Source organism: Homo sapiens, chromosome 3, assembly GCF_000001405.40.
Source record: "Homo sapiens chromosome 3, GRCh38.p14 Primary Assembly".
Lineage (NCBI taxonomy): Eukaryota > Metazoa > Chordata > Mammalia > Primates > Hominidae > Homo > Homo sapiens.
The window spans coordinates 171783726-171802976 of NC_000003.12; the positions used below are offsets into that span (position 1 = coordinate 171783726).

The following is a 19251-nucleotide window of genomic DNA, read 5'->3' on the forward strand; positions in this document are numbered from 1 at the left end:
TCTGCCTCTCAGGCTCTAGTGATTTTCCCACCTCATCCTCCCGAGTAGCTGGGACTACAGGCACGCACCATCACACTCGACTAATTTTTGTAGTGATGTTTTTGTAGAGATGCAGTCTCCCTATGTTGCCCAGGCTGGTTTCAAATTCCTGGCTCAAGTGATCTGCCTGCCTTAGGCTACCAAAGTGCTGGGATTACAGGTGTGAGCCACTGCGCCCAGCCCACCCTCTTAACTGTAACACTCTCCAGCATTTTCAGGACTCTTGTCTTATACTCTCTGTGTCTGGATAGTATGTGTACCCATTTGGTCTTTTCAAGACCCAGGGGTATTATTTGACTTCATATTCTTAAAAATAACTTCTACGGAAGTGATTTTCTTTCATAGAATGGGAAATATAAGACACATAAAGAGCTGGTGTAATTTTTGAACCCTTCAACAAATTGGCTATCAGAGAAAAATGTATCCTCCTGTCTCAGCTCAACTCTTTGTGTCTTATAGTTCTCACTCCTAAAAAGCACATGTTGCTGCTTGGAACAAAACAAATACCACATTTGGAGGATTTGAAGAAACTAGTCTCAAAGTAATTATTTCAAGAGAATTTATTTTAAAAACATGTAAGCACTAAGTCACCTCATTCTCAGAAGGAAAAAAAAAAAAAAGACAGTAGCACGTGTTCAGGCATTCAGAATTTTAGAGGGACCGCTAATTGTGTATTTAAGAAACCATTTGAATAACATTTAAGTACCCAGGAAAAAAAGTCCAGATTCCCTAGCCTGACCTTCCACTATTAAAGTCCAGTCTCTTATCATTCCCCTGCACACATGCCATGTCCCAGGCAAATGAATTAGCCCCATTCTTCCCAAAGAATGTCTCATCTCTGAGCTTTTCCTCTTGCTGTTCCCTCCCCTGGATCACCACCACTGCAACCTGCCCAATCTTTCCATAGACATCCTATTTTTCTTCAAGCTCCAGCTCAAACACAGGCTCCAAGCCAGACAGTGACCACACTCCTCTAGAACCACCAAAGCTTTTTACCTGCCACACATAAGGCATCTATCACTTTGTATCTGGTATCATAGCTACCTATAGATAGCAAATATCTATAGAAACTCCCCCCTTAGAGAGAATCATCTAATATTTGAATCTGGATCTCCATATTTACCATTGTAGTGGACACCTCACACAGTGCCTGGCATATTATAGTCAATTAACAGCTAATAACATACAAATACATATTTTAGACGGAATCATAAGGAAAAGTTAAATACAGTGTTAGGTGCACCTATTTTAAGCTCGGCATTCTGTCTCTGAAGTACAGACAGAGTACTACAGGAATACTACAGTAAGTCCTGTACAGATCCAGATTTTATTGTTGTGGGATACTGCCAAAGTATCCTTTGAAATGTTTACTCCAATTTAAATGCTTGTCATAAGGTTGGAAGAGAGCCTAGATCTCAACAATTTATGTTTATGTCTTACCTCTATTCTGTTCTCTATTCCGACCGAATACGGTATGAGTTACAAAAGTGAGCCACATATATAATTTTAAATTTTCTAGTAGCCACATCAAAAGTACAATGAAATAGGTGAAAATAATTTAATGAGTTTATTTAACCTAATTTACCAAAATACTGTGTCATGTCAAAATGTGATCCACACAAAAATTATTAATGAGATATTTTACATTTCTTGTGTACTAGGAAATCCAGTGTCTATTTTTTTTTTTTTTTTTAGATGGAGTCTTGCTCCGATGCCCAGGCTGGAGTGCACTGGCATGATCTCAGCTCATGGCAATCTCCGACTCCCTGGTTCAAGCGATTCTCCTCCCTCAGCCTCCCGAGTAGCTCGCATTACAGGCACGTGCCACCACGGCAAGCTAATTTTTGTATTTTTAGTAGAGACGGGGTTTCACCATGTTGTTCAAGCTGGTCTTGAACTCCTGACCTCATGATCTGCCCGCCTTGGCCTCCCAAAGTGCTGGGATTATAGGCGTGAGCCACCACGCCCAGCCTCCAGTGTCTATTTTACACTTAGAGCACATTTCAACTTGGACTGGCCACATTTCAATTCTCAAATAACCACGTGTGGCTAGGGGACAATATACTGGACAGTACAGGTCTAGAACATCCCTGTGGGCAGAGGCTGCTTCTTTCAGCCCTGTACTCTCTACAGTGATTTACCCATTCAATGGGATTAAATGCAACAAGCATGTAAAAACCAAAGTGTTAAAGCACTAAACAGTGCTTACCACACAGGAGGGGTTCAATAACTGCCAGCTTCCTTTCCTTCACATGCAGTAGGCCCTCAATAAATGTTTCTTGGGTTGACTTTCCAAACTGGAAACAGTATTATAGGATTAAGGCCATCAGGCTCCCTTTATTCTGCTCAGCAGAATAAAGCAATCTTGTCACCTTAATGTAGGTTCGTGGCACATTTTCCTGGCAGAAGAATAATTACCCACCAATAAACTTTTCCAACTATTTGGAAATAGCAATTTCTCAGAATAAATAAACTATTATCCTGCTCTTCATCAATCCCAGTGAATCTGATTTTAAGCAAACCTGTAGGATTCATTTATCCCTGGCTGAACTAATAAAAGTGAATTTCTGAGTCCAGGAAGATAAAGAAAAGATCCAGTAAGATTGTCTTTCTAAACCAAGGAGCAGCCACCCTCAAGTCCATCTGGAAATGGCTGGTAAGACTGATTCTGCATTATAGAATCCTGTCTGCCCAGAGTCAGAGAGAAATGCAGCAATCGAGCTGTCTAAGCAGATACTTGGATATCCAAAGTATTAGAATTATTCTAATCTCAAAGAATTAGACAGAATAAAGAATTAGGAGCACTAGAATATTTTTATCATAATTGAATACTGTTTGAGGACTCAAACAGCATTTCAGAATTTCTTTTGCTCAAAGCAACATTACTGTTCGGGATGGCACCATAAAATTTGTAATTTAAACTTCCATGTCAGTTGAGCTTCTGTGTCGTTTAATTACTTACTCAAAATACAAATCAACATTTAAAGAAATATATTTTATATATAATAAATATCACAAAATATCTCATCTGACAAAACTGCAACTAGAATAGGTAACATGGGAATTTCCTTATGAATTCTTATCTCTTATGCAAACATTCTAGCCAATCAAATAGATCTTTCAATACGTGCAGTGCCTCCGTAGTGATGCCTCATGCTAACTAACTCCCTTCATCGGTAAGTTATCACTGCTTTAAACCTTCAGTCTCTGTCCATCCATTTCCTGTTAAATTCCTCCTAGATTCACTCAATTCATCCAGCCAGCCATTCATTAAACAAATATTACTGAGTTCATATCTACAGTAGAGTGCTAGGCACCCAGCACACAACAGAGAGTCAACCAAACATGGTCCCTGCCCTGGAAAGCTTACAGTTGAATTCTCTTCCCAATCAATGCCCATTCTGCTTGTCCACCTCTGGGCCCCTCTGTCTCTCAGGCTACATGCCTGTGCTGAAGTACCAACTAACAGGTAGCTGACCAGGGTTTTACCGAGTCTGTATGGTACATTAGGTGTCTGTAGGGCATGGTCATCTCTGTACAACACAGGCCTACTTTCTGGATTTGTTATGTTGGAATAGATTATCTACCCTGAGTATTTTCCCTTATTTTTGTGATCAAATTACTTTCTCTTGGCAATGCCTTCTTTTTTTTTCATTAAGTACCTGGGTGCCCCCAAGTGGATGATGGTTCTCTCACATTGCAAGAGCTGGTTGTACAAAATGCAGCACCCAAGAACTTCATGACCATATTATCAACCTAGGAGAAAAATGTTATGGATTTGTGCACCAAGAAAGGAATCTAAAATACATTTGCATATTTTATAACTCATTTGAATGTCATCATACCCAGAAAATAAAATTCAGGCCATTTTTCCCTTGTTAATATTCATGGTATGGTGTGGTATGTGTATGTGTGTTGGGGGCATGGTACAAACAAGGAAGGTTGATACAAGTTAAAGAACAGCCACCTTCTATGGAGCAGCAAGCATATTATCACTGAATTCTCATTTAGGAAAAGAAAATATTTTTTCCCTGGTAATTTAATGAAATTTAGATATTATTAGAACCAACTTGGTTTTTTTTAAGAAAAAAAAAACTAGAAAAATATTTTGTAAGAAAAAAAAAATTGTATGATTGTCAGCCTCAAGAAAAAAATTCAGCCGGGTGCAGCAGTGGCTCATGCCTATACTCCCAGCACTTTGGGAGGCTGAGGCTGGTGGATCACCTGGGATCAGGAGTTTGAGACCAGCCTGGCCAACATGGTGAAACCCCATTTCTACTAAAAATACAAAAATTAGCTGGGCATGGTGGTACACGCCTGTAATCCCAGCTGCTCCAGAGAATCACTTGAGCCCGGGAGGTTGAGGTTGCTGTGAGCTGAGATCGCGTCATTGCACTCCAGCCTTGTGACAAGAGCAAAAATCCATCTCAAAAAAAAAAAAATAATAATAAATTAACTTTTGTGTTTGTGAGTGCATCTGCACTTCTTTTTTTTTTTTTTTTTTTTTGTAAAGACTGAAAGGAGTATTTCTGGGCTGGTAAACTGATGAGATGAATGACAGAGTGAGAAACAGGCTTATCAGTTTACCAACTGCTGAAAAAACCAAGCCAGGTTCACAAGGTAACAACAATACAGAGGTGATAGAAATAAATTTTTCCTTAATGCATGGGATTCCTGGATTACTCGTATACCTGCATTCATTCAGTTAGTGCTTCAATAAACCAAGCAGTTTGCCTCTGGTTTTCTAATATCCCGTCTCTCTATTAGCTTCCCAAATAAAAACTCAAGCCAAGAGACAATATAACAACAAATAAAACAAGGTAACAAACTTTTATTACACATTTGTTGAATTGTTTAAAAACTTTTCATGTTTCCTGAACACTCATCCAGGAAAGTACTGTCAAGATGATGACGAAACTCAGTTTATTCCTGGACAAAAGAGCTTTGACACATCTGCTTGTGGTTATCTACGTTCATAAAAACACATCACTGTCATCAAAGGCTTAAGACAAAGAAAAGCATTTATTAAGTTCTGTCTATATATAGTACTTCAACTGCCAACTCTGGTAATTTGTTTGAGCTTAGATTCTCTGCGTCATGAGAGGAGTTGGTTTGCATCTGTTAATGAGACTGTTTTTTTGAACTGTATTCCTTTACTCCAATATGTATTGCATAACTACCCTGTGCTATGCACTCTGCTAGGCACTGAGAATTCGAGGATGAATAAAACAGACATTGTCCTCAAAAAGCTGGCAAACTCATGGAGGAGGCAGTCTACATGGCCCAGCCAAAAGTCTACTGTGCACAAACAAAGCTGTGCAAACACAGAGGGGAACAGAAGTAATTCAGCATGCTAAGAAAATGGTGGTCAGGGCCAACTCACCAATGCACAGGATTTTTCTATCTACAGGCAGACAAGGGAGGAAGGGCATCCTATTCAAAGAGCTCCAAAGGAGAAAAGCACATGGCACGTTCTGGAACCAAAAAGCCCTGCAGAGGGCGTGGGACAGAGATGGATGTATGTACATTGCAAGGCTGGAAATAAAGTTGAAAAAAATGCATGGCAGCCACATACAGAAGGGTCTTGAATGACACTCTAAGGCGTTTCAGATCCACTCTTGGGTGATGGGAAGTTCATGGAGGGATTTAAGCTGTAGAATAATGTAATCTAATTTATGCTTCAGAAAGATGGCTCTGTAAAACTAGGTACACGAAGTCAGCAGTATTCCTCAGATAAGAGCCCCTTTGGGCAGTGGCCAGAGTGGGAATATCTGTATACAAAAGACAAAAAAAAGGTACAAATGAGAAAAAAATATTTGTGCTATTGAAAACTTGGACATCTTTCCATTCATTTTAAAAGCAAATTTTAAGTGCTACTAACTTTGATGAGTTCACAATGGCTGATGACCCTCAAATTCTTCACTTACTCTTCACTGTCTATGACAGAGGAGAATAAAGCAGAAAACAAAACAAAACAAAATGCATTAATACCAGTTCCTGATTTTAGCCGATAATGGTAGCATCACTCACTTGCTGCCAGATATCAGAATGAAGAAATACTAACTGCTGTTTTTACCTATGTCTCTCTCTTCATGACTACTAAATAATAGTATGTGATGTGGCTGGGCTGAACCACATTGCCCAGAATTCCCCTTCTTGTAGGCTTCCACGTAGGGTCAAAGGATATTCTCTCCTAAGAGGTGGGGAAAAGAAAGGAGACAGCAACATTTTGCAGCATGCATGTACACACATGCCTTTACCTAGTTATTCAATCAAGTACTAATCTACTGCTGCTGTGAAGGGATTTTGCAGATGTAAGGTATGTAATCAGTTGATTTTAGTTAGTCAAAAGGGAGATTATCCTGAGTAGAACTGAGGTAATCAGCTGAAAGTCCTTTAAAAGAGGGCTTAGGCCCTCCCTGGATTCAGAGACTCCAAGCTTCAGCTCCACTCACAGGGATCCAGCCTGCTCATGGTCTACCTGCCTGACTGGTTGCCCTGTGGATTTCAAGCTTGTTTAGCCAGTCCCACAATTGAGGAAGCCAATTCCTTGTAATAAATCCCTTAATGCATGTAACCTACTAAGTCTGCATCTCTGGTAAACCCTGACTGATTCATGATGTTACGGTTATTACTGTTGTGAGGACACAGAGGAAGACCTCTTGGCGTGGAATCACCCAGAAAGACACTAAAGAATCTCACTCTTGTACTAGCTCTCTCCCAATCTCTTGCAATAATGGCCAGGAGAAGAGAAGATTGTGAGTTAATTTTTCAAAAAATGAGATTTATGATAATTTAGAGATGCACAGTGAGGTGTGGCTATGTTACTAAGCTCTGGCCAATGAGATGTAATTGGGAGTACTGGAATTATGAGACAGGGCCTGCAAAGGAAGCTGGCATGCTCCTCTTCCTCTATTCTCTGTCTGTAATGTAAATATGATGTTGAGAGCCCCAGCAGCCATCTCAGACAAGGGCCACATCCTGGAGGTGGCAGATTGGAGAGCTCTAGAGACTGATGACTTCTAGAGCCGTCATGCCAGCTCCCAACGGACTACTTCTGGACTGTTTATACATGAGAAATAAAGCCACTACCTGGGGGCTCTGATACTTGTAGTGAAACACAATTCCTAACTGATATAAGAATTGTTTTCTTTAGTCTTCCTATTCCCTTAGCAGTAGACTTTTACATCTAAGTTGCTACGTTATCAGGAATAGCTGTATTTAATTTCACTGCTATGTACATAGGACACATTAAGTGTTTAAGAGGATTAGAGGAGACAGCCACAGTAAAAGCTTTTTCGTATTTCTCCATGTTTCTGTGTTTTGGCAAAAGAATATGAGAACTTTTCATAGTCTGCAACAAATGCCTTCACAAAGCCACAAACTTTAATTCCCATGGAATAGAATTTCATATGGCAAGCCTGTGGTTACATCCAAATCCACTTATTCAACAGATTTGTGCTGTAAAAAAACCTCACACTAGCCTATCTCTTTAGATAGGCTCTGTCTTTTCATGTTGGAGTCATCTAATTTTCCCCAAACCAACAACCCTTGCACATGTCTGGGGTATATTTTTTTGCCGAATGCAAACCACATGGTCATTTCAAAGCCTATAATTCAGTTCAGGAGCACTGGGCTTTCTGGATGCTCGTGAACATAACCATCAAGAGTGACACACATTTCTGGCAGTCACCTTGCCAGCTCCAGCTCTATTGTGTCTCTATATCACGGTGAAAAACTGCCTGACACACTAGGCAGCTGACATGTGTAGGGAAAAAAATATCAGGCCTGTGACCAAGGGGAAAATGAAGTGATTAATATGGAAAACACAACAAGAAACATCAAACAGGAAAAAGCTGACACTTCCTATTCCTTTAGCTTCAAGTAAATGTGTTTTCTCCTCACACTGACTGTAAAAGGCTGGATCGAAGTATTGACATGATATAAACGTGTCAGATGTCTTCCTCACCTGGGGCCATTCATAATACTGAAGAGTCTTTCACTCCTTTTTTTTTGTTTTGTTTTAGAGGGAGGGAGGGAGGTGAGGTTAACGTAATCATAACCCTGAAAAGATAAACTTGGGAAACTATAAGCATAAACACAATGGGCCGAAGTGTTCCCAGTGTGAGTCACCACTGTTGTGCCCCAGCTCCTTTGTTCCTGCCATTTCCTTCCTTTCAGAGTTCCGGAACATTCCTCTCTGGCTGGCCTGGCTCCCTTTCCCAACACCATCCCTTAAACACTGGTGTTCTTCAGGCTTCTGAACTCGACCTAGTCTACCTGTAGACTGTGTCTCCTCATTCTATGTCCTCACAGGGAGGTGAGTCTCATAGATACTCATTCATACCCACAGCTTTACTACTCCCAATGCCACCATTCCTTTCTTCTCTTTCTCCTGAAGGCCCAGTGCCTAGTGAACTGTCCTACCAGTATCTATTTCATCAAGTCCCAAACTGAACATAGTCATGCTTTTCTACCTTGCATCTCAATTCCATCCTCTTTCCCTGTCTCACAGCCCAGCCACATATGCACCCTGTACCTCCGTTATTGGCCCCATCATGCACCCAGGGGCCAGTTCCATCCTCTTATCTATTCCACCTTATTTCATATACTAAGAGTAGTGGGGGCTGGGTGGCCCCAAATGAGATTCTTATATTCTGGGAATGCAGATGGATCAGGGGCCCCTGGCCATCCATCAGGCATTCAGTACCACACCAGCTGATCTGCAAGGTGAGAAGGGGGCCCTCAGACACGAAGGTCTCGCTGAGCAAACCAGGGGACAAACCAGGAGAAGGAAGAGGGCCTGTTTCCCTGCCCAGCCCCAGACTGGCTGAGGCTGATGGAGCAAGTAGCTGCAGGAAGAAGTGGAGAGGATTGTCTTTCCCCCTGCCTCTGTGAGTCACAGAGAAACACAGTAAATTTAGGCTCCTGGTGACAAAAGGAGTCAAGGACATTTCTGCAGGGCACATACCAGGTTCCAGCATCTTTCTAGAGCCCCACCCTCCCCCCAGATTTGCAAACTTGAAAAAAACAAGTCCTGGCATGTGACTCCTTTTGGCATAAATCCTCTTCAGGAGGACACCAGCTATGGCTGAGGTGGAGCCTCACACACAAAGCCCTTTGGCCCACGGTCATCAACAAGGAAGCCAAAGCGGAAGACTCCCCAAGGAAGTGGGGCTCTCAAAACACATGTGAGACAATGCCAAGATACCACCAGGAATACCTGAAGGAGACTTGCATTGAAGGTCCTACGGATCCACGTGGGAACACAAACCAGTGAAATTTGCGTGATCTCCACTGACTAGACATCATTTGAACCCTCATGCTGGCAGGGTCTGAAGACATTTCGTAATCTGTCTCCACTTTTGATCCCTACTGTAGCTCCCCTACAAAACATTTCTACAGATTGCTACCAAGGTAATCTTCTAAAATTATAACTCCAGTGGTATTCTGGGCTGGCTCATATAGGCTCCTGAGAGCAGACTGGGAAATTTTCATCAAGATTGGGAAATTTTCAGCAATTTTGTGAGTCAGTTGTTAAACACATAAATCATTAAAAATTAAAATATTAAAAATTGAAGTTACTAAAAATTAAATTATATAAACTTACAATAAATTATATTAAAGCAAAAGTTCTCCATTTATCACTTCTTTATTACTTTTCTATATTTTAATAATGTCTATTGTCTTGAGGTTACTTATGCCTATTTTATGTGTAGTGCAGTCCCCCCTTATCTGTGGTTTCATGTAACTAAAATTTCAGTTACCTGCAGTCAACCATGGTCCAAAAATATTATATCGCTACTTTTGCACTTTGTAGCCATTATTAAGTAAAATACAGTTACTTGAACATAAGCCCTATGATACTGATAAAACCACTGTTAATCTGATCACAGAGATGGCCACCGAGTGACTGGCAATGCTGGCAGGATGGAATGGAGGAGTGCAAGATTTCATCACACTACTCAGAATGGTGCACAATTTATAACATGAATTGTTTATTTCTGGCGTTTTCCACTTATGTCACACTGCCTAGGTTATTCGCCTCACTTCATCTTCACACAGGCATTTTATCATCTCACATCATCACAAGAAGGGGCTGGGAGTGGTGGCTCACGCCTATAATCGCAGCATTTTCGGAGGCCGAGGCGCATGGATAACCTGAGATCATGAGTTTGAGACCAGCCTGGCCAACATGGCAAAACCCCGTCTCTACTAAAAATATAAAAATTAGCCGGGCGTGGTGGCACACGCCTATAATCCCAGCTACTCGGGAGGCTGAGGAAGGAGAATCGCTTGAACCTGGGAGGTGGAGGTTGCGGTGAGCCGAGATCGTGCCACTGCACTCCAGCCTACACGAGGGGAGCAAGAATCCATCTCAAAAAAAAAAAAAGAAAAGTACTGTACAATAAGATATTTTGAGAGAGAGAGAAAAAGAGAGATCACATTCACATAATTTTTATTATAGTATACCATTATAACTCTTCTATTTTGTTATTAGTTATTGTTAATCTCTTACTGTACCTAATTTATATATTACATTTTATCATAGGTATGTATGTATAGGGAAAAAAATCATAGCGTGTATAGGGTTCAGTACTGTTTGAGATGTCAGGCATCCATTGGGGGTCTTGGGGCATATCCCCCTTGGATGAGGGGAGACTACTGGATGTGAAAAGACTACATAATGTTGTGTTGTGCTTCTACCGTGCATCTTTTCCCAATTCACCATAACTTGATACTGGCCATGATGAGGGTAGTTTCATACTGAAATTGACAAACACTATAATCACATCGTTTCTGTTTTGCTAATTGTCTAGGCCTTAGGAGGTGATAGAGAAAATGTTAATAAAATGCCTGGTGCTTGTAGTAGTTACATCGTGAATAAAACAAAAAACTGAGGAAATATTCCTCTAGTATTAAAAAAAAAAAGTACTGGACAATTCATAAAGAAGATGTTCCCTGAACAAGTAAAGTTTTGGGATACACCTTTGCTGCTTCACTTTCAAATTATACAATAATATAAAAAGAAAATATCAATATGTTCTTTCATCAATTGTAACCATGACTAGGCTATGGATACAAGAGTTCAAAAAAAACCAACAGAAATCTGTCTAAATCAATTAGCTATATAGATTTAATGATAAAGAGTATTTTATTACTACTTGTAATTGTGTGCAACACATCTTTTGTATCAGTACAATTTATAATAGACATATGCGCATGCACATTTTCTGGAGAGCTGGTTGTTAAACACTTACAAGCACACCATTATATCATTCTGATTAGGTGTTCCTTTGTTTAAAATCTCTCAATAGCTCCCTTCATTGGCCTCCTTTTACGGACTACTTCAAATCCTCTCAAACTTGCTTCTTATTCCTGCATTGCCATCGCAACCAGTTCCATGAAGAATTTAACCAGCTTCACACAAGTGCAAACTGACAGGCCCACTCACCCCTAGACTCCTCTGTTGCTGTTTCATGTGTCGCCCATGGGAACCTGGCAGTCATACATGTGCAATCCAGAAGTGGGGCCGCCTTTATTCAATGGGAGACAAGAAACATGGATAAAAGCTTCTCCCTTTTTTTCTCTACATAAACTGTGCTGAGTGCATTTCATAAAACTTCTCAGATAATCTCTTGGAATAAAGCAACCAGCTGCCTATAGCAATGATGCTCCAATATTGGTTCCTTGTATTACCATTGCCTCCTTCCCTAGATGACTGTCTCTGGTCTTTCACCCCTGCTCCCTGGATGCCATTCCCAATTAAACCACCTGGCACAAATCTCTGCACAAGACACCACCTATCATCATAGGGTGGGTCCAGGCTCCTTATCTTAGGAGAAATGGCCCTCTGAAACAAGGCCTCCACCTGCCATTCCTGCTTAATTTCCTAGCACATCACACCCAGTCACAAAGAACACACATACTCTTACCCATTTCTTGTGTTTTACTCATGCTATTCCCTCTGCTTAGAATTCTTCCCAAAAGGGTGTTCAGAGAGTTCTAAAACTTTGTAATTTAGTACAACCTCAATATTACAAAGGAGAAAATTGAGGCCCAGAATGGAAAGGTCTGGCCCAAGGTTTTCAATAGTTAATTTAGATAGAGCTAAACACTGTGCTACTTTTTATGGGCTTCTGCTTCTAGTCCCTAAAGTGTCCATGAATATCTCTATTCTAGTTTTGAGAGTCTACTGAATTAAATGTGTTTCCTCTTTCTACTTCCTAGGATATATGGACTTCCATTTCCCTTTAAACTATTGCTCTTTATTGTCTGAGACATTGGTCTCTCCCAAAAGAACAGATAGTAATTTACTCTTACCCAATGATTCAATCCAGTTCCCCAAACATTTGCTGTCCACTTTTTGTAAGTATTTACGATGAGTGCAGTGAAGAAGACGAAAATGAGTAAGATATGTCCCTTACCCAAAAGGAGTTTATGATCCAGTGGGAAAGACAGAGTTGTGTATAAATATCTCCATATATGGTGTGATTATTATGATGTAAGAAATAGCCAAAGAGATGTTTAAATTACCTGCTGTACTTGTTTAAAATATATACATAGAGCACATATCAAAAAAAGGTTGATATTCATAGTTTATAAAATGGGAGGAAGAGTAAGTCAACATACTAAGAAAACCATAGCAAAATGAAGAGCTGAGAAAGAAGACTATTTGCAGATGTAACTATTTCAGAGCTAATGATTGTCATGGATCAACTAATCAACAAATATACGAATGCCTGTTATACATAAGCCATTAACTTTTTGTACTACTGTGTTCTATCATATTTCAGACAACCAAAAACCCTCAAACCCTTAATTACAATTACAAAGAAACCTTTAAGAGTATCTAGTCCACTCCTCTCCTGAAGAAACCAAGGCCCAGGAGGTTCTTTTTCTTATCCATTATTTCTTCTGAGAGATCCAGCCATTACCAACACTCTTCACCAACAATTCAGACTTTGAATCCTCACTCTCCCTTGACTCTTCCCTCTCTCTCATTTTCAGGAACCAATCAACTACCAAATCTGTGGCTTCTGCTACAGATGCATCACATGACTGTATCCCTCCCATCTTCATGCTCTTCTTCAGCCTATCCTTGCTTCTGGATGGGGCTGCCTCAATAATTCCTGATTCTCCCAAAATCACTCTTTCTCTTCCTGCACCATCCGTCGCAATGCCAGAGCTGCCCTTCTTAAGCATAGCTCTGATCATGCTTTTCCTTTGCTGCCAAACTCCAAAAACCAAGAACATGTTAGTTTAACTTTCCAGCTCTCTCATTCTTAATTCCACCTGTTCATGGTTGTTCCTCCCCTCACATCACCCTTACTCTCCACCTGTGCTAGGCTATACTCCCACTCCCATATACATTCTGCACTCTCCCTCCCAACAGTAGAGTGTCATCTCCAAAATGCCCTACCTGCCAAGGCTTCGAAATCCTGCTTAACCTTTCTGCTTCCATATGGCTTCTCCGATCTGTAGTTGTTCACTCATCTATTGCCCCACCTCTCCACACCCTGTTTCCCATTGCATGTTACTTGTACTTATTTCACAGCATTTAATCTTTGAATTGTGTTTACTGATGTGTCAGCTAAACCATTAGATCAGTGACTCTCAAATTGTAGTCCCCAAACCAGCAGCATCAGCATTATCTCGGAGCTTGTTAGAATTGCAAATTCTCTGCCCAGCCCAGACCTACTGAATCAGAAACTCTAGGGTGAGGCCCAGCCCTCTGTGTTCTCCTGAGCCCTCCAGGGATTCTGGTGCACAGTAGAGTGTGAGAACCACTGCACTAGACCATGAATCCCCAGAGGGCAGTTGCTCCCAGGATAATTTCAGAGGCAAACTTAGAAGGTTGTCTTTAAAAAAAAAATACTATAGCATATTATGGACATTTTTCTTCTGAATACATATTTTTAAGTAAGCAGCTTTTGACCAAAATATATGCAAATATCCTAATAATATGAAAAAAGCTGGCATGTATTAATGTGAATGAAGTTTTCAAATTTCTCACTTGTTTATTTTGGGCCTCTTATTTAAAACTGACTGAAGTTGGCTAAATTCTTTGAGGGTTAATTTTTTTTTCCCTCAATCTTTAGAATTTTTTAGAGACTTATTACTCCCTAAGTGCCATTTTTCCTTGTAAGTTTCACGATGGCTGTCCTGTGAGGATAATTTTCAAACTCATTTTCCATTTTTCTATGACTCATCTGTGAAACAATAGATAACAGTTAAGTGTCACTGACCCTTAAAATGTGAAACCTAAAGAAACATTAAAGGGAAGGAAAAAATTCTCAGGCCACTGAATCCAGGTAACACCGCTACTTAAGTAAGATTGTCCTATTATATAACCAGCAATGGCAGGAAAGTGAGTCGGACAGGATCAAAGTAGACTGATTAAAATGCTGTGGGATACAGAACTAAATGATAAGGGAGTGCTCAGTGAATTACAATCACTTACACATTCTCTACTAAAGGAATTCTAAACCATTTTTGCATCACAGAGCAAAGGGTCTAGAGACCTTTCTAGGCTGGGGCTATGATACCTCCCTTGCTTCACATCAACTCTCCTACTCATCGAACATATGACCAATTTTAAATTATGGTCAAATTTTACAGACTCCTTGAGTCCTTGGCCCTAGGAAATCAGGCGTAAGGAAACTGTTGCTGTACAGAAGTCATCATATTAAGTGCTATGACTTAGAGAATATCAAGTAAATTGAGAAATAAATTCTAGGTGAAATCAGGTGACAGTGTCAATAATGGTCACTAGCATGAGAAAGAGAGAAAGACTGAGAATTGAATTTTTGTTTTGAATTTTTGGATCTTGCTTTGGTTGTGTTAAAATAATTCTAATCAATTATGTGAAGTGCTTATTATGTATGCTTAACTTGTGCTTAATTACAACAATGTCTTCTCAACATGTTCCAAATTAATATTGTTATCCTTTATTTGATTGCAACAGAAAACTCTTCAGGTCTGTCTAGCCAGGTCCCAAGGCCCAGCTCTGGACATATTACCTGACCGTCCTGAGAGCTAAGCCACACACAGGCCCAAAAGAACTTGGCCATTAGAGAGTCAGCCATGCTGGGATGGGCCTCACACTCTTTTTTAGGAGGACTGTGTCCTCAGTCAGGCATCGGAGCACAAAGGTTTCATGGGTAGCCTACCGCACACTAAGCCACTAACCAACACCTGATTTGGGGGCATCATTCTGGTCCCTTCGACCAGATTATCTGGTCTCTGAGCATAATTGTCTGCCCACAACTTTCATTTAAAAAGAGGGACTCAGGCCAGGCGCGGTGGCTCATGCCTGTAATCCCAGCACTTCGGGAGGCCGAGGCAGGTGGATCACAAGGTCAGGAGTTCAAGACCAGCCTGACCAACACGGTGAAACCCTGTCTCTACTAAAAATACAAAAATTAGCCGGGGGTGGTGGTGCGAGCCTGTAATCGCAGCTACTCAGGAGGCTAAGGCAGGAGAATTGCTTGAACCCAGGCGGTGGAGGTTGCAGTGAGCCAAGATCACACCACTGCACTCCAGCCTGGGCAACAGAACGAGACTCCGTCTAAAAAAAAAAAAAAAAAAAAAAAAAGAGGAAAAAAAAAAAAGAAGGACTTGCCTGCAACTAAAACTACTTTCTAAAGTGTTTCTGTGTTTGTGAACTAGCACAGAAGTGAAACAAGGCCACCTAAGTGTACTACTTTTCTATTTTAGACCAAAATTAATGACATACAAAAGAAAATCTATAACATTAAAGGAAGTAAAGGGAATGAAATCCTTTTAGGACATTTCCCCCTCTCTAGGAGGTACAGCATAACTCCCAAAAGTATGGGTTGTGCACAGTGACTTCTTTCCAAAGAGTACAGTGTGGAGAGGGAGGAAAAAAGTAACTTTACAATGGAAAACATTACACACACAACTTCAGTGAGGTGATCAAAGTGGACATCACCAGTGATAAGTCATGCTGATAGTATGTACCCTTGATACGATGTAATAAATATGGTATTTTACCTCTGTCCTCTCCCTCCCCAAACCCATCATCCCAATCTAATCCTGAGAAAAACATCATAAAAATCCCAACTGAGGGACATTCTACAGAATACCTAACCAGTACCCCTCAAAACTATCAAGGTCATCAAAAACAAGGAAAGTCTGAGCAACCATGATAACCAAGGGAGCCCAAGGAGACACAACTATGAAATGCAGCATGGTATCCTGGGCAAGATACTGGAATAGAAAAAGGACATGGGAGAACATCTAAATAAATACAGGTTTTACTTAATAATGCATCTATATTTGTTCATTAATTATAACAAATGTATCATATACCTATGTGAGATGTTAATAATAGAGGAAACTGTGTACTCCTTTGAAACTCGCTATAATAGCATCACAACTTTTCTGCAAATCTAAAACAAACATAATTTTTACTTCTTTATTTTTTATTTTTATTTTTTAGATGGAGTCTCGCTTTGTTGCCCAGGCTGGAGTGAAGTGGCGTGATCTCGGCTCACTGCAACCTCCGTCTCCCTGGTTCAAGCAATTGTCCTGCCTCAGCCTCCCAAGTAGCTGTGATTACAGGTGTGCACCACCACACCTGGCTAATTGTTGTATTTTTAGTAGAGATGCGGTTTCACCATGTTGGCCAGGCTGGTCTCAAACTCCTAATCTCAAGTGATCCACCCACCTTGGCCTCCCAAAGTGCTGAGATTACAGTCATGAACCACCGTGCCTGGCCCAAACATAATTTTTAAAAGGCAAATATACAATAGTATGTTTTCTAAATGAGATGCTCTGATTAAATGTGGTATTTAGAGATGCTCCAGAAGTCTGCTGTCTACATCCCTGGACCCAATCTCTACTCCAATGCCAGCCACCTGTCTTAGTCCACTCAGGCTACTGTAACAAAATACCATAGACTAGGTGGCTTATAAACAACAGAAACTTACTTCTCACAGTTCTGGGGGCTAGGAAGTCCAAGATCAAGGTGCTTGCAGATTTGGTGTCTGGTGAAGGCCTGCTTCCCCAGAGGCTGCCTTTTCACTAACCCGTCACTTAGTGAAGAGAGTCAGAGGTCCCTCTCTGGCCTCTTTTATAAAGGCACTAATCTCATTGATAAGGGCAGAGCCACCATGGCCTAATCATCTCCTAAAGGCCTCACCTCCTAATACCATCACCCCTTGGGGTGAGGATTTCAACATATGAATTTGAGGAAGACAAATATTCATACCACTGTACTGCCCTGAAACAAAGCAGTTTGAAAATCACTATCAAGGAAAATTGGAACATACAATCATTATAAAAGCCAGCCCATTTCAGGAGGCCTGGCAGGATTCTGCTGCACAATTCAGTCCTGCCTTTGGATGACTGCATTAGACTATAAGCTGTGGGGCTGGAACCACATTTTAGACTCACTAGCCTAGGCCTAGTACTGTGTTAGCACCAAAAAGACTCTGTGCTTGATAAATTCTTCAACACCATCCTGAAGAGGGGCTATTGCAAATACAGGATGAAAGCTTTCACTGCCAACTTTATTGGCCTTCCAGGCAATGGATCTGCAAAAATTACTTCACTGTCAGTCAAACCTACCCCGTGTATCTGGTGAGATCAGACAGGACGAACATATCCAACATGCGTTTCTGGCATGCCTTTCTTTTTGTTTCTTGTTTTTGTTTTGAGACGGAGTCTCGCTCTGTCACCCAGGCTGGAGTGCTATGGCACGATCTCAGCTCACTGTAACCTCCACCTCCTAGGTTCAAGCAATTCTCCTGCCTCAGCCTCCCAAGTAGCTAGGATTACAGGCACTCACCACCACACGCAGCTAATTTTTGTATTTTTAGTAGAGATGAGGTTTCACCGTGTTGGTCAGGCTGGTCTTGAACTCCTGTCCTCAAGTGATCTACCTGCCTCAGCCTTCCAAAGTGCCGGGATAACAGGCATGAGCCACTGTGCCCAGCCTATGGCCTGCCTTTCTTACAAAGTGATACACATTTCCCTAGTCCCCATGACACTACCAAAAACCACCCCGGTAGAACTCAAAAAAGGTAGGAAACAGGAGTTTCCCCAAATCAGTCTCATTTATGTTACGATACTTTCATGTTTAATCGATCCATTCTATCACAGATTATACACCCACATGACAGATGCAACTGAAACAAGTTTTTGCAAGCTCTCTGAAAACGACAGGAGGCATTCACATAGAAAGCTACAGATTTTATTTCTCATCAGTTGAGAGCAGCACTTTGTTCCAAATTGCAGTAATATCTCAGCAATGAATCATTGTCATAAAAACAGCAACATCTGTGAGGTCAGAAAAGAACAATTAGGAAAACAAATGAATCCCTTGGGAACCAGGGTTCACACTAACATCATATATTTATATAACAACTTGGAAAGGTAGTCATTCAACAAGTAGTTAGTGAGCACCTACTACATGTCAGGAAAGTCCCTACTCTCATAAAGCTTAAGTTCTTGTGTAGAAAACCCAGTAAGCAAGAAAAAGAGAAAAGAAAAAGAATTTCAGATAGTGGTGAATCCTAGCATGAAAATAACCCTAGGTGAAAGGCTGGAACAGGATCAGGTAGCAAGCAATGCAATGTGGACTGTGAAGTGAGGCAGCTTTCAATGGTCAGGGAAAAAACCTTTCCAAGGAGATAACATTTGACCATTTTGTCATTGATCCAAATGACAAAAAAGAAGGAAGCCATGCAAAGACTTAGGAGAAGTGTGCTCCAGGCAGAGGGAATAGCATGATTAAAAGGCCCTAAGATGGAACAAAGCTTGATGTGTTCTAAAAACAACCTTCCTAACAAACTCTGGAGATAGGCAACTGTAGTTCAGAAAGGTGAGAAACAAGTTGATCAAGGTTACACAGACGCTAAAGTAGAAATGAAACTTAGCACACCTGACTCCTCTGATAGTCTCCCTGCAACACGCTAGCTGCCTTCCTAGTTAGAAACCCAGGCTCCAATGAATGAGCATGAGAAATCAGGCCAATGGGGCAAAGAGTGGCCCCTGATTACCAAGTTTCACAGGATCAGAATTTGAGTTCAAACATAAAAATCGAGGCTACCATACAATGTGGCCAGGGTCCAGCAGCCCAGATGACCTGATTCTAAGCAAGGTACACAGGTGCCAGGGCTGGAGAGCAAGAGCCCACAAGAGGGGCCCAGAAGGCACATGGGGTGATCATCAAACTCCCAAGGG

At 41.0% G+C, this 19251-nt stretch overlaps 1 protein-coding gene across 3 annotated transcripts in view; it reads right to left on the bottom strand.

Annotated features, from left to right (window-relative positions):
- PLD1 (phospholipase D1) overlaps positions 1 to 19251 on the bottom strand; it is a 210080-nt gene that overhangs the window by 183322 nt on the left and 7507 nt on the right. Inside the window, exon 1 of one of the 3 annotated variants that reach the window (XM_047448316.1) lies at positions 13463 to 13665. The exons of the other annotated variants lie outside the window; for them this stretch is intronic. The gene's annotated coding sequence lies outside the window, so the exon portion shown is untranslated. Of the gene's footprint in view, positions 1 to 13462; positions 13666 to 19251 lie in introns of those variants that run through there. 3 annotated transcript variants of the gene reach the window in all.